General features: G+C 38.4%; 1 annotated feature.

Moving 5' to 3' along the window:
* Positions 12,369 to 12,869: an enhancer, noted in NCBI's record as "H3K4me1 hESC enhancer chr13:108846907-108847407 (GRCh37/hg19 assembly coordinates)". NCBI's record gives its function as "activates a minimal SCP1, AML or CMV promoter by ChIP-STARR-seq in naive H9 embryonic stem cells {active_cell/tissue: H9 hESC(naive)}" and the evidence as "EXISTENCE:reporter gene assay evidence [ECO:0000049][PMID:30033119]".

Genomic DNA, 16,994 nt, shown 5'->3' with positions numbered 1-16,994 from the left:
CTATTCTTTTTAAAACAATTCATAATAGTTGTATCACATAGATTTTTTTGGTGTCAGTAAAATTTTTTTTTTTTTTTTTGAGACAGAGCCTCCCTCTGTTGCCCAGGCTGGAGTGCAGTGGCACAATCTCAGCTCACTGCAACTTCCGCCTCCCGGGTTCACACCACTCTCCTGGCTCAGCCTCCCGAATAGCTGGGACTACAGGTGCCCGCCACCATGTCCGGCTAATTTTTTTTTTTTTTTTTTTTTTTTGAGACGGAGTCTCGCTCTGTCGCCCAGGCTGGAGTGCAGTGGCGCGATCTCGGCTCACTGCAAGCTCCGCCTCCCGGGTTCACGCCATTCTCCTGCCTCAGCCTCCGGAGTAGCTGGGACTACAGGCGCCCGCCACCGTGCCCGGCTAATTTTTTTTTTTTGTATTTTTAGTAGAGACGGGGTTTCACCGTGGTCTCGATCTGCTGACCGTGATCCACCCGCCTCGGCCTCCCAAAGTGCTGGGATTACAGGCGTGAGCCACCACGCCCAGCCATGTCCGGCTAATTTTTTGTATTTTTTAGTACAGACGGGGTTTCACTATATTAGCCAGGATGGTCTCGATCTCCTGATCTCGTGTTCTGCCCACCTCGGCCTCCCAAGGTACTGGGATTACAGGCGTGAGCCACCGTGCCCGGCCAGGTGTCAGTAAAATTTTTGACTGGTGCCAATCTACTTCCTCTTTAAGAGTCTTTGTATTTCACATTACCCATGAGCTGTATTTAAAATTTTAAACTTAAGAAAAGTACAAAATAAATATTTAGTGTAACACATATGTATAAAGCAAAGTATGTGTTTCATTTAATCAGCTTTTCTCAATGAATTTTGAAAATATTTACAATTCTCTAAAATATAGCTCCATCATTTTAAATTGTTGTGCAATATTTCATTGAATGCCCTGTTATGTAGCCCATTATTGTTCAAATTTTAGACTATTTCACCATGCCACCCCCACCTTTTTTTTCCTTTTTCTTTTTTTTTTTCTGACAGAGTCTGACTCTGTCGCCCAGGCAGGAGTGCAGTGGTGTGATCTCAGCTCACTGCAACCTCCACCTCCTGAGTTCAAGCTATTCTCCCACCTCAGCCTCCCTAATAGCTGGGATCACAGGCTCCACTAGAATAAAATACATGAATAAAGGCACTAGGTCAACTATTTACAGGATAAATATTCTGAAGCCAACTGAAAAACACACTTGGTTCTTAATTCTCCAAGGCTATGGTTTCTTGCCGGAAAACAGGACAGCAGATTTACCAAGAGCTGCTCCACCCTATTCCATATATCTGATGATTTAGAAGTGTCCTCAAGGAGTTCATTTCAGGCTGACGGCAACTTCTTTGAAAGTCAGGTGGCTAGAGTAGCTGCATTATACTCGTGTGCTTGACCTGGGATCTATGTGAACAGGGCTCCTTTGGCCCCTTGGAATTCTCACTTTTGGGAAAATACATTGTGTTTAAAATGTCTAACATGGAATTATTTGAGCCCTAGAATTTATCCTGTAAACAACACTACAATTCACTTTCATTCAGTAGAATAAGTTCTTACTCTCATTAGTAGCCCTTTGGGTAAAAAGGGGGATAAAGCAATCCCTGCCCTCAAAGAACTCACAGTGTATTGACAGATAAAGATAATTGGAATACAAAAGGTAAGTGTATTCCCAGTTAAAGGAATGATGGATTGTCCTGGAAAGTCATATGGTGTAGGGGAAAGAGCACAAACTTTAGAATCAAGTCATTCTGGGCTCAATTACAGTTCAGCCACCAATTATCTGTTATTTTGAGCAATCACAACTTCTTTGAAACTTAGTTTCTCAAGTTTCAAATGCAAATGACACCTGTCTTATCAGAATGTTTGAGGACAGAACCATAGCTCCCCCGCACATACTAAGGACTCTAGATTTTACCTGCTATTCTTACCCACACCCAGGTTAGTAAGTGAGTAACTGAGGGAAAATGGGTCGAATTTCATCAGGCATAGTGGTATGGAAGGTTTTTCCTGGCGGAGGAGAGATTATAAATAAAGCCATAGGGGATACAAAAGTGTGTGGAAATACTTGTAAAGCATTGAGATTTAGGGGTGAGGGAGAGAGATAGGTGAAAGTAGGCTAGGGTAGATTTTGAAAGGTCTGAAATGCCACACTACGGAATATGTAGTGTGCTCAAGATAAATGCATGAAGAATTGTAAGCAAGATATTTTAGCCTCTCGTGTAAGGCTTTTTTTTAATTTCATTTTTTTTTTGTTTATTAGACCACTTAAAGTATGATAAACATACAAAAAGCAGTACATATTTGAAGCATACAACTTGATGAGTTTGGAGGTAAGTATACACCTTTTGAGACCACCACATTCAGGTCATAAACTTATCCATCAGCTTCAAAAGTTATCTTCTTCCCCAGTATTTATTGACTGAGTCCCCACCTTGCGTTCTGTTATTTAATGATTCACAAACATGAGTGCCTCTTGAATTCTAGGCTTTGTCCTAGTTCTGGACAAACAGCAGTAATGAAAGTGGGCAGAAATTCCTGTCTTCGTTGAGTTTCCATTTTAGTGGATAAAGAGAGGAAAGAGAAAAATTCATGTTTCCTTCTCTGTCTGATTCTCCGTCTTTGGAGGCTATTTCCCTCAGCATTTCAAAACCATGTATTTTCTGGCTGATGTTTCTTTTCACATGCAAGCATTTCTAAGAATTGTCTAAACTTCTAGTTTCACTTTCTGGCTTTTCACTCTTAAAATTACACATATAATGTTCTAACAAAGTCTTTGACCTCTTCATTGATAACACCCCATAAATGTTAAAGAGCTTGTTGGGTGTTCCACTATAGGAACACAGGCACTTACATAGCGTTCACCGGGAAGAAACGATAACCATGTTCTGAAGTTATGTATTTGGAGTGAACATTGAAGGAAGAAGATAATCCACCCAACTAGTCAGCTAGATGAACCAAATAAGCATTAGTGATTCTGACTGATAGACATCATGGGGACGTTGCCTTTGATGGAACACATGCTTCCTTTGATATTTGAAAAATTTTGGAGCATAGAAAAAACATGGAAGCCTTCCAAAATCATTTCTTAGGGCTTAGTAATCTTGATATCACCCTCTATCAAAAATAGCATAGAATGTGGAGTGACCAGAACTTTCATATGTTGCTAGTGGGAACATGCAATGGTGCCACTTTGGAAAACTGGTAATTTTTAAAGTGATATACCTACTCTGAGACTCTTAAACATGTGATGTGCTCATTTTACTCTGAGTAAATTGTACTTCAAAAAATTATTTAAATAAATATTTGAAACAACTATTGATTGTATAGTTACATAGATAAAACATCCCAATAATGCATTTAAATTAATATTGCAGTAAGAGGAGCAAGAAAATATTTTCAATATTTTAAGAAATGTGAGGATAATACAATATTATATATATATTATGGCATGTAGCTGTATTAATAGACTAAATGCAGCAATAAAAAAATTGGTATATGAAATTCAAAAGCATTCTTTTTTAAGCAATAAGAACAAAAATAATTTAAATAAAAATTGGAGACTTCTTAGAAGAGATAATGCTACAAAAAAAAAAAAGCCGGTAGCTTTTGGGATTTTAGGATGATGGTGGCAGTGGCATCACAGTTTTTGAATCCCTATAAATTCCCACACATGAATGAAACACAACTGCATAGCAATCAAAAACCCATGAACAACATTTACAATAGGACTAAGTGATGAATAGATGAAAACAGACAGGTGAGCCATAATACTTGCATGACATTCATATGTGTGTGAAGAAAACAGAGGGACCTGAGAAAAGCAGAAACTCCTTAGCAAGGATTTACTGGAAAGCACAGTGGGCAAGACTGAGAGCAGCACCTGAAACTAAGAGGGATTTTGTCCAGTGGAATAGCAGGTGAGGGAAAGGAGCCCTAGGTAAATCTGAAGGGCCTAGTAACTGTGAATTCTCAGAACTGAGCCACCATTGATGCTTTCCAGCTCAGGACCTCATAATGAAGAAACACTGGTGGGAATGGAATAAAAGGTGAGCAAAATAGGGGCAACAGAAAGACAAAGGAAATAGAAGGTCCACATGAAGGTGAAGAGGAAGCAGCCAACATTTTAGGAAGCAAACCATTATGGTTCTGAAAAGCAACAGAAGTAGGAATTCTGTGACATTAGAAAAATTACTATTAACTACATTTTCTTCTAGATGTTCAGTGAAGCTAAACTAACCTAACAACGAGGAACCAAATGATAATGGGGGCTAAATTTACACAAAGAAGAAGAAAATAGTGTGATTGAAAGAATCCATTTCCACAGAGAATGAACTCACATAAGAAAGAAAAGCCCCTAAAGCAGATCAAAATTGTAACCTGTAGCTTCAAAACATCTGAAAGATTTTTTTTTAAATACAAGATGTGAAAGAACAACATTTTATTTCAGAACTGGAAAAACTCAGAAATTAGCTGACAGAACTTAGGAACTAGATATAAAAGAAAAAAAATCTATGTGCTATTGGAAACTTAAACCCATAGAAGTAATTAATATGTGTAACATAAAACATATTAAACTACATGAAATGTTGAACCACATATAAAATATCATTAAGTCAGCATTGGTGGGGGTGGAGCAAGAAGAGGTCTGGGACATCTACCTTCTTCCGACATCACCCTTCCCTAAATCTAACCCATTAAAAGGCATGTAACCTCCTGGTCCTTGGTAGTTCAGTAGGACATAAATGTGAGGATCTCTGAGGTCCTTTCCAACTTTAACATTGTGGTACATCCAAGAACCATTTACTGGCAACCTTGAATTAATTTATGAATGCACCTTTTATATTTATTTATTTACCTGCCTACTTGAGATGGGGGTCTTGGTCTGTCCTCCAGGCTGGAGTGCAGTGGTGAAATCATGGCTCACTAAAGCCTCAACCTCCTGGGCACAAACGATCCTCCTACCTCAGCCTCCCGAGTAGCTGGAACTACAGGCACATGCCAGCATGCCCTTATAACTTTTCAAAAAAATGTTTTGTAGAGATGGGATCTAGCTATGTTGTCTAGGCTATCTCAACTTCCTGACCTTCAGCAATCCTTCTGCCTCAGCCGCCTGACCTTTTATTTTTATGGTGAGATCTTAAGCTAGTATCCGTGGTTGGTTTGGGAGATGGGACTGGGTGGCCAGCTGATAGAGTGATCCTGGGGAGGTGAGGGAATCTGTATACATGCATCTAGCAATGGCTTTTTCAAGTCATGGTTTTTCCAAGGAACGGCTCTTCATTTCCATCAACCTTTGGTTTGGATATATGAGATTCTTCTATCTTATGTAAATAAAATGTCTTTCATAGATTTGATACTTTCACTAATCTCTAACATCAGTATATGTATGAACAAACCACTTCCTAAACAAATGCACCTTCAAGACAAATAATCATGTCCTTTTCCCAACAATACAACTAGATGGAATTCTCTCCCTTTTGTAGATAGATTGTGTATAAAAATTCAGGAGCAGCATTGCCTAGTGATGAAAAGCCAAGCCTTACTTACGTAACTCTGGCAGAGGATTGTTGCTCAAATAATAGTAAGTGTTGTTTCTATATTAGTGTTAACATGCTTTCTGTTATGGGATAAGATAAATAAATGAAACGAAAATCATGAATTCTTGAGAATCTTGATGAGCTGGAATTTAATTACCCAGTTTGAAATAATGATGGTAAAATGGCCAAAGCTTTTGATGCTCTTAGTGAAGAGCACTAACATTTCTTAGATTTTTCTACTTGCTGATTAAGGAATAGATAGACATCTGGCAGCTACTGTTAGATTTAAGGTGTACCCTTGCAAGATCTAAAAGGAAATTGAATTCAGTGACTAACATGAGTCTTCAAATTCTTACAAAATATATATCTTAGTATTTAAGGACAAAAATATCATTCAGCACTATGAATTCCTGAAATTCGTACTTTATATTATTTAAGGGAATAAGGTACATTCTTTTCCTTATGACTCTAACAGTGGTTTCTACAATTATTGGAGCAAGACTTTTGGGGTTTCTGAAACTAAATTACTGAAAGAAGTGTACTGATTTTTTTTCCATTTCATTCTGTTAATTATTTCCTTTCTGCTGGAAAGTTGGTATTGGTAATAGCTGTAGAGCATTCTGTGAGTTATGTAATTTAGTCTTAAGTGACAACAAGCTATTTATAGTGTGTCTGGCTTTGGGGTAGAGCATCATTTTCCAACAGATAGTTTGGGAACCTCAAGGGTGTACAAAGAAGTTTCCATATAAAGTTAGTAATGGTTTTAATATCTTTGGCTTTTTACCTAAATTGATACATAACTAATGTTTCCTTTAAAATTGAGTAATTTGAAAGCCTCTGAGTAGAAATTCAGTAAGCACTTGTAATAGTTGAGGCTGACAAGTGGCGAATGACTCATTCACTGAATCATATCATCATTCAGCTGAACATCCCATGCTGACACAGAGGTTATGGCCATTATTCAGTTTTGAATTGTTTTTATTCCTAATCATAAACAACTTAATTTGTCTCATAATATACATTTAATAAAAGAAGGAAAAATAAGGTACATTAAGATAACACAAGTTAATGAAGAGCATGTGCATAATAATATTACAAATACATATCAAGATAATTGTCACCAGATTAATAAATTGTATTCACCTGATCAAAATTCCTATATATCATATCAAATTTTTCCTAGCACTTCCAAAAGCAATGTTAGACAAAGGAGAAACTATATTGGTAATCATATCCAGTTTACCTTTTACTTGTTAGTAATAGAACACCATTCATAACCTCAATGTATTTATTTGTAGAGTTGTGTTTACAAAGAACTCCAAACATTCTCTTTTTCTAGCCACTTAGAGAAAAACCATGATGTTTTTCAAAAATCTAGTCCACTTGACTTTTTGGAAGTCCAATTTGAGAAAATTAAAAATCAGAAAATTAAAGTATTTTAATATATTCTTGGTGCTGAAACATACAGTTAATTTTTAGCATATATTTAAATATGCAAGAGGATATAGTATGCTATTTTAAAATTTTTTCAACAAAGCATGGCTACTTTCATAATTTATTTAAAGAGAATTCCACTGAGTTTACTTATTAAAGAAACAAAAATTGGACTTATGAATATCGTTCCAGTTACTGTTATTACACAGCAAGTTGATCCAAAACTTAGTGGTATAAAAAGCCATTTTAATTATGGTCAGGTATTAAGTTTGTTCACAGCAGGAATGTCTTACATGGTTCTATTATGTCTGGGGACTTAGCTGGGTGTAACCTTCTTCTCACTTCTTGCTGGCTTTGAAGACGTGACAGAACATGGATCTCACGGCCTCCAAGAACTGAGTTCAGGCAACAATCATGAGAGTAGGGGAGTGATAGTTCCCTAGTTTAACCTTCAGAAGAGAAAGCAATAATAGAAAACTAACGTAGATTTTTAGTCCCAGAAGTAGGGTGCTACTTAACAAATACCTAAAAAGTGACTTAGGAAAAGAGTAAACGGTAGAGTCAGAAGGAATGTTGAGGTGTATAACACAAGAAGGGTAAGTTACCGAGCATACTATTATTAGAAGTCTGGATTTCAAGGTCACTGCCAGTGAAGTCTCAAAAGGAAACAAGGAACATATTATTGGAAAGTGGGGGAAGAGGGATCATTGTCATATAGTGGTAAAATCCTTAAGCAAATTGTCTCCTGTAATTATGTAAAAATCAGAACTTGTAGGTGACCAACTCAGTTATAGAGCCAAAGAGATTTTCAAGCAAAGTGCTGGTTTCTTGTTGCTTATAAAATACGGTAAGATTTAAACAAATCTGTTTTTGTCTTTTAAACAAAAAAGAACTGCAAGTTGATGATATTGAAAATTCCCAGCATCTCCAGAAAGCAAAAACTGCTGAAATTAAGAAATTGCTTCCAAAAATACAGTATGCAGAAAATTCCAAAGGTATGATCGTGCAAACTTTGCTCTAACCTCAGATATACCTAAAGATCAGATTATTCAATTTCACAGAGTCCTTTCAAGAGATCCTCTTAGATTTTCACAAGCAAGCTATGGGGCCTGTAGGAAAGTTAAGTATGTTGTCTTTAAGCCATCTGATATGGTTTTGTTGTGTCCCCACCCAAATTTCAACTTGAATTGTAGTTCCCATAATTCCCGTATGTCATGGGAGGGACCCGGTGGGAGGTAATTTAATCATAGGGGTGGTTACCCTCATGCTGTTTTCATGATAGTGAGTGAGTGAGTTCTCACAAGATCTGATGGTTTTATAAGGGGCTTTTTCCCCTTTTGCTTGGCACTCCTCCTTCCTGCTGCCATGTGAAGAAGGACGTGTTTTCTTCCCCTTCCTCCATGATTGTAAGTTTCCTGATGCCTCCCCAGCCCTGCAGAACTGTGAGTCAATTAAACCTCTTAAAAATAAATACCCAGTTTTGGGTATGTCTTTATTAGCAGTATGAGAACAGATTAATACACCATCTCAGCAGGAAGATGAAGTAGAGGAAGACTTATATTGCGCTGATCTATTGTGTAGCTTTTGTTTAGTGGAACAAGCTCAATTAAAATCTTCAGGAGTCAATATTGTTGAGAAAATTATTTTAGCATAAACACTACCAGCTTGGAGTACAAGGAACAGAGAGACTATGAAATAAAAGGAGTCTGAGGGACCATAAAAATTCTACTGGTGGGAAGCAGTCTCAGAAAACTACTCAGCTGCAAACATTTGCTTTCTTTCATGAAAAGAAAAGAACCAAAAATGGCATATGATCTGTGACTTTAGAGATGAATAGATTTTAGAAGTTTGAGGACTGCCATGGTATGTACTCAAAGAAGGCATTTTAATAGAGGAAACAGGATATAGTCGGATTTTGAAAGGGTAAAGCATAGCAAGTCAAGAAAGGACAAATGCATTTTTTCTCTAATGCACCTCCTTTTATTACTATATATCACATCACCTCTGCATCTATTATTTTTCCTTCTTGCATCATGTACAAAATTTAATTATACAGCACAGCATTCTAAACATCATCCTAATACACACACATGTGTGCACATTTAGTCCTAAAAACAACTCTATAAAATAGATACCATTATTAAACTACTTTATAGAAGAGGAAGCTAAGGCATGGGAAGTTGTATAACTTGCCCAAGTAGAGTAACCCTATTTCAAATCCAGTTTCGTTATTTCCAGGGTCTATACTCTTTATCACAGAGCTACACATGCATTTTCTTTCTCAAGCAGAGAGGTTTTCAGCAGTGGACATCATTTCACACACGTCAGTATTAATCTCTGAGAAACAACAGTGATACTATGGATAACAAAAGAAGAAAAGTTTCAAAAAGAAATGGGGTGAGACAAGACTGTGTAGGCATAGTCCAAATATATTTATGAAACATTCAGTAAACACAAGAGGCACTGAAGCATAAAAGATTCATTCACATAGAATTATTCATAGCCTCAAAGATCTAAACCCCTTCTTTCTTCCAGACAATGGTTCACAACTGGAGATGACCATCAAAAAGTATCCAGATGTTGCCACCTGCAGGGGTGTCAAGACTGGTGGTGCTACTAGCATCTAGTAAGCAGAGACCAGCAATGCTATTAAATATCTTACAATGAACAGAACAACCCCCACAAACAGGAATTATCCAGACTAAAATGTCAATAGTACTGAAGTGGAGAAAACTTATTCTAGAATCTTCTGCAATGCATGAGAAAAGACATTATATTACTTGTTAGTAATCCTTTTAAATCATGCATATTCACAGCTGTATTGCAAATCAGTGTTCCATTCATAAAACAAATGCTAATTCCTACTTATTTCCTTTTAAGGGGTTAGGATGTAGGTTAATTAGTGTTTGCAAACTCCTTTGACGATGTAAAGTCCTATGTAAATACTACTTATTATTAATTACCATTCTGGAAGAACTGCACTGTGACCCTACTTGTTCCCTAGTAGAGCCAAGCCTCAAAGACCTGAGCAATGCTGAATTATCTTTGATAAGTTAGAATATTGATAATGAGAAAGACAGACATCAGGGATCTAAGCCAATTTTAGATAGCTGGGATATGACTGTATATAAATTGGCTCATTAAGATCAAGAAAACTATAGGTTTTGATTTGGGATTTTTGCTATACTGGAGTACATTTCTTTCAATTTTACAATAGTATATGTCAGAGAGGGTGGTAGCAAGAATCTAAAATACAAATTTAAATAATTATAAACAAGCAAAAATAATTTATAGAAATACATTTATATTATTTATATTGCAAACTGATTTTCTCTGGCCAATGAGTCACTGTGTTATTTGGAGTGTGTCTGTCTGTTAAGACAATAAAATGATTTACAAAAACTTTAAAAGAAGATACAAGGTATGATAAAATTTCTTTCTATATGAAGTATAAATCAATCATGTCATGTAAATATAATATTATACTTTGTATAAATATCTTTACATTTTAAGATAGCTCCTGTTCTTCATGATTACGACATTTTCCTGTTAGGGCAGAGTCTAACCCTACAGATTTATACAGCAATTACATTGTGATCTGCTAAAATGCCTGTAGCCCTATTTTTAACTCAGTATCAATCTGGACAAAGGACTTGTTGGTGACAATGTAAACCAAAACTAACATTTTCAGTCCCCAGTTGACTGAATGGACCTCTCCTCTCAGCCAAGGGCATTCCAAAGTTAACCTGAAAAACTAGTTCAAGCCATGATGAGAAGTGGGGTTTGGACACGCCTCATTATACTCTTTGGAATTCAGGCAGAATTGACCAGCATTAACATTAAAACAGAGATCTTAAGACTGACAAAACATATTCTATATAGCAATAAGATACCAAATTGCAAATTGACACTAGTATAGCATTACATGACAGATAGCAAACCATGAAAGAAATTTTACCCAACATTATATTTCTTTGACGTATTTCGAAATGGCCCTGCAAAGCTCTCTCGTGGAGGAAATTTACATACTATAGTGAATCTCCTTCCCTTTCCAATCTTTTTCTTTCTCATCCTGAAGAGATTAGCTGAGAGTCTAGCACCTTTTAAAGGTCTGAATAGGAAACATTTGCCATCTATTCCCTCTAAGGACAGACACCTATGGGACTTCACCTGTGTAATAAGAACACTGGTCTCCACAACAGTTTATCTTAACCCAGACATTCCTTTCTATTGATTCTGTCACATGATCCTTTGGGAGTCACTTCGCCAGCCAGAAACCTCTGTGGCTGGTGGCACCTGTGCTTGGGTTTTGTCTGTGCCCACTGGGCTCATTCCACCCACTCGGCTTGGCAGGCTGGGCTCAGCTTGCACTAAAGGCCTGGATCCCACACCTGCCAAGGGCAAGCCAGGTGTTGAGTGGCAAGGGGTGTGTGGGTAAGTGAGCACAGGGTCTGGCCACTGTGCACAGCCAGGCCTTTCAGCTGCAGTGCGGCAGGCAGCTCTAGGCACTGGCACAAGCAACCTGGCTCCATGCGAGGCTGCAGCTGAACCAGTCATACCGCAAGTGCCTTCTGCTACAGGCACTTTTGAATAAAGTGGCGCCTGAAAGCTTGGAGATGTCAGGAACCTCATAGCCCCAAAGAGGGTGTTACAGTATGTTATAGCCCAGGCTCAGGGAGTCCTGACATTTGGGCCCCCAGAAAGGCTGCAGCTCTTCTCTCCTTCTTGCTGCCCACAGTGCAGCAATTGGTGGGGGCGTGTTTCAGTGGGGGTTCAACCTGTTTGTGTTGCACCTCTTTCATTCCCACTGCCCCACCCCAGCTCATAGCTCCTGGGCTGGCCCAGACCTGCCGCTGCTTCCCATCATGTGGGGTGGCCGCCTGGAGCCAGTGGAGTGTGGGAGGCCTGTAGTGCTACAGCAACTCTGGCTTGAGGAACTGTGAGGTTTGGGACCCCAGAAAGGTCACCACTCTTTACTCCTGCAGTCCAGTAGCATGTCACTATCTGCAGCTTGGTGAGCTGACCAGCCAGGAATTAGTTACAGTGCCTTTCACTCCCACCTTTTGGCAGGTTTCAAGTTCTTGTCCTGCATCCAGGAAGAATGAGGTAATATGGACGACTGGAGGGTGAGCAAGGAAGAGAGGAATTTTATTAAGCAAGAGAACAGCTCTCAAGAGACCCAAAATGGGTAGCTCCTTTCCACAGGCAGGTCATCCTGATGAGTTTCTAAGTTTGGCTGAGTCTGGGGTTTTTATGTGCTCAAAATGGAGGAAGTGTGTGATTGATCCATGGGCAACCACGGGTGGGCCTGGAAAAAGCACCATCTGATTGGCCAAAAGGCATCAGTGAAATTCTTACTCTGGGTCAGACTCAACCTGGAACTGGCAGCCTGGACCCCAGGTTTCAGGCCATCCCTGGCCTGAAGGTGAGGTTTCACAGGGACCTGCCCCTTCCTGCCTAGGAATCTGTCTGCCTCCTGCCACCATCAACATTCTGTCCACAGTGCCCAGTCTGTTTGCACTGAGTGGAACCCTCAAACCCGTGCTGAGCCTCCCTCTGCCCCATAGCTTCCTTTCCATGCTGATTGGTGTCCAAAGTCCAGAGGGAGCTGAGGCAGCAGGTGGATGGTGTGTCAGTGCCACCCCAAGTGTATGCACACCTAGCTGGGTCACGACAGTGCCTGGGCTTGGCCACAACTTGGCTCTGCACTGGAGTGGGCACAGACAGCAGGGAGAGGCCAGGCAGCAGGAGCAGGTACTTCTAGGCCTGTGGGGGCAGGGGTTTTCCCAGGTCCATGAGAGTGCAGGGATCCCTGGGTCCAGAGCCATGGCTAGGCAGCTGCAGTTGCACCCAGGAGCATGGGCTCCCACCCTGCCAACTTGGTAGGGCATGGGGCTCCCACTGGGATCTCCTGCTCCCGGCCCCTGCTGGCTCCACAGAGCGCCCAGCCACACTTCCCCCACTGCAGCTGGCATCCTCACAGTGGCCGCTTCAAATAGGCTGCAGCCACCATCGATTCCAGGTCTTTAGATAATTAACTCTTTCAACCAATTGCCAATCAGAAAATCTTTGAATCCACCTACGATCTGGAAACACTTGCTTCATGTTGTTCCACCTTTTCGGGCCAAATCAGTGTACACCTTACATGTAGTGATTGATGTCTGTCTTTAACTTCTGCCCCCTAAAATATATAAAATCAAACTTTAACCCAACCACCTTAGGCACATATTCTTAGGACCTCCTGAGGCTGTGTCACAGGTCAAAGCCCTCACATTTGGCTCTGAAAAAATCTCTTCAAATGTTGTACAGGGTTGGGTTTTTTTCATCAGCAACATACTGGGGTAAAACTGGATTAGGTGTCCTTGTTGAGGCATAAGTCAGAGCTGTAGAGTTTGGCTTTGTCAAATCCTGCTGGAACATATTTACCTGCATGAATCAGCTTCACATGCATGCTGATGGAATTCATTCCTGGGTAACTCATTTTGGGGGTGAAATCTGAAATACAGAACAGTGATAGGACAGTTACCAGGGAAGCCTTGAAGTTTGACCAGGAAAATTTTCAGTGTACATGGCAACTTTCTTTAAATTCTGAGGAACTGACATGAGCAGAGGGAATGTGTTCTCTCCTGATGACTTCCGGAGGAGAATAGGAATACTGAAATTTGAAAATGGCAGATTTTTCCACAATAGGAGAACAGAATATCAGACTAAGTATAGGACGAACTGCCTCCAGAGCTGAGTTATCTGTATATTGGAAGCCCACTCAAGGTGGCCAAGCCCGCTGAATTCTGCAGACAGAAACAACAAAGCATGGGAGATTGGGACACATGCATTTAAGGTCTCATATGTCCATGAGATTTTTGCCATTATAGTCTAGTTTTTATGTGCTTTTCTTTAGTCATTCTTAGCTCTCCCTAATTAGACTGGGTTCTCTTAAAATCCCAAGATAAGAGTCTTCTCGTAGAAGCTTTTGATCTTCTACATTCTATGGCCAGTCACTGAAAAGTTCTTTATCTATCAGCTTAGCTTATTTACACTGTTTCAGTGTTGTGATGTAATCCCATTTTCATTCACAGGTTAACTCAGAATAGGTTCATTATATACCTTCTATGTGCAAAAGCATGATGCTTGGCACAGTGTGGGTTCAGATATCAGAAAATTTTTATCCACTAAGAGTTTTTAATTTAGAAAAAGAAATATGATTGCAATATTTGATCATATATTAAACTAAGCAGAGTGATATTAAATGTGATGTGTCCATATTTGGAAGATTCTTTTTTCTGAGATGATCCAGGAAAGAAAGTGGCACTTGAGTTGGTACTTTAAGGATAGAGAGGAATTGATAAGGATGGGTCAGAAAGAGGCCTCCTGCTGCATTGTTGGATTTTAATATTTTAAGGTGGTTTGAGTCTTACAAAGAATGATTTATTTTGTTTTTGCATGTTTTAACTGCCTCTCAACAATTATTTTTGGCAATTTGAAATATTTGTTTTGTTTTCAATGAGTGAACTTTACAACTAAATATAATAATACCTTTAATGCTTTATTTTTCTCTTACATTTTTAAAATGTACTAGCTATTTAGTTCTCTATTAGGGCTATATTGGAATTAAATATGGCCCTGACTTTTTTTTTTGTCTCCTCTGGCTTGTATTTTGATAGAATATTCTTTACTTTCAGTTAGCACCTAAAATGAAATACCTTCTACTTTCCCTACATTCTTTCCCTTCTCTTCCCATTTTTATAATTGTATATATCTAGCATTATATGTATTGTCATTCTTATGTCCATGTTTTAAAATGTTTCAATGAATATTATTGTGTCAAAACTTCTTTGATTATTTGTTGGTGGATTGAGACTTGTTTTCTACAGATTCATCAGGTAATACTTATGGAAACAACTTCCCAAATTATTTCATTTTTATAATAGCTTTACCATGACTTTTATGTCTAAAGTTTAGTTAAGAGGAAATAAAATCAAAGGCTCACATTTTCTTCATTTAAATATCTTAACTCATTATTTCATTGTATCTAGCATAATGCATTGCTATCAAAAGTCTTGGTATCTTTTTCTTTTAAGGAAGGGATTTTCCCTAGATGCCAAAATAATTTATTTTTCAAATGTTTCAGTTATTTTCTTAGAATGTTTTTTGGTGTTGAGCATTCAGAATTAGTTCTTCCAGGTACACTGTATGCCTCTTTAAAATATAAGTTCAAGTCTTTTATTATCCAAAATAGATTCTTGGATTATACACTTAAGCACTTTTTCTAATACTGCTTTAGTTTTCTTCTTTGAGACTCCCATTATATGTATGTTGACTACTCTTTATTTTCCATTTCTCTCACTTTCTCTAGAATACCTTTTATCTCTTATGTCCTTGCTTTATGATTCATTTTCTTCAAATTTTTATTTCTATTTTGATTTCTCATACAATAATTTCTATGCTCTTATGTTCCTTTTAGTTTAGGCTTAATTTCTGAAATAACATTTTCTTTTATTTCAAAATATTTTCTGGGCATACTCAACTCTCTCTTAATGTTCTCCTATTGTTCAGATATCTCAGTACTGATGTTTTCTAATTTTGATGTATATTGCTTTTCCTGCATATATTTAATTATTTTCATAATTTACTATGGCATTCTTTGAGATGATAGATTATATGTTTTTTCTTTCTTTCTTGGTTGTATTCTTTAGCTGTGTCTTCATTTTCTATAGAATGTCACTGATATGGTTTGGCTATGCCCCAAATCTCATCGTGAATTGTAGCTCCCATAATTCCCATGTGTTGTGAGAGGTGCCTGGTAGGAGGTAACTGAATCATGAGGGTGGTTCCCCCATACTCTTCTTGTGGTAGTGAATAAGTCTCTCGAGATCTGATGGTTTTATATTCACTTCATTCTCATTATCACTTGTCTGCTGACATGTAAGACATCGTTTTCACCTTCTGCCGTGATTGTGAGGCCTCCCCAACCATGTGGAACTGTGAGTCCATTAAACCTCTTTTTGTTTATAAATTACTCAGTCTTGGTTATGCCTTTATCAGGAGCATTAAAACAGATTAAAATAGTTACTCATATTTTGACCTCATCTTTCTTACAACATCTTTGTATGGATTTGGGCTGCAGACCTTGTATGGTGCTATTATAGTAAAGTAAGATTGATTTTCCTGTACGTTTAGAAAGAAGCTTCTGTTGTTCAAGATTTGGACATGAGCCAGGGTGAACTTGCTAGCTTCATATTTACGGGGTTTCCTCTCTTGTTGTTTCTGCAACATACTAAAAATGCAGCCTTTTCATGTAACCACCTCTCCAATACTTTAAGCTATCCATCTCCTCTTGTCTCCTCCATCACTAAACTTCCTATTTTCTTTACTTCCAGCATTTCTGTTATGTTAAATGGGAGACATGTTCCTCCACAGATCCCCCTCAATATGAGGCTCTGTCCTTCTCTGAGAATTTCAGAAATCCCTAATGACGTAGGCTTCCATAGCCCAGCCCTAAATGCTCCACTGACATCCAAGCTTTCAAATGTCCCTTCAAATTCTAAGCACTGTTTTCAGATCCTTCACCTTCAGTGGGGACTCCTCTTTTTGAAAGTGAGTGTTGGTAATTTCTGAATTTCCAGTTTGTTAGAACCATCAGAAGTCCCCCTTGTCTTCCTTCTTCTTTGTCTAGTACAGCTGCTGTGTCCACACAGTTCTTGGTGTTGTAATTGGCATAACCCCATCCCCTTATATGCCACAGTTTGTAGGATACTTTCCTCCTAGTTTTGTTGAAAATGTTCATTTTGGAGTTTTTTTGGTAATTCTAGTTGTTCTGTCTGTTTTAATGAATAATGTAGATAAGACTTGAAAGCTCTATCTCTTTTGTTGTTGCTTCCATCTTGTGTTTCCAGGAGACACATTTAGAATTTTGCCTTTGAGAGCGCTGTTCTCTAACATTTCTACATTAAGGAAAGTTTTATCTTGAATTGGAAATTCACCCCTTTTTTTAGAAAAAAAGAAAACAA

This window comes from Homo sapiens, chromosome 13 (genome assembly GCF_000001405.40).
Source record: "Homo sapiens chromosome 13, GRCh38.p14 Primary Assembly".
NCBI lineage: Eukaryota > Metazoa > Chordata > Mammalia > Primates > Hominidae > Homo > Homo sapiens.
Note: the sequence above shows the minus strand (reverse complement) of the source record. Positions and strands in the feature narration are given on the sequence as shown.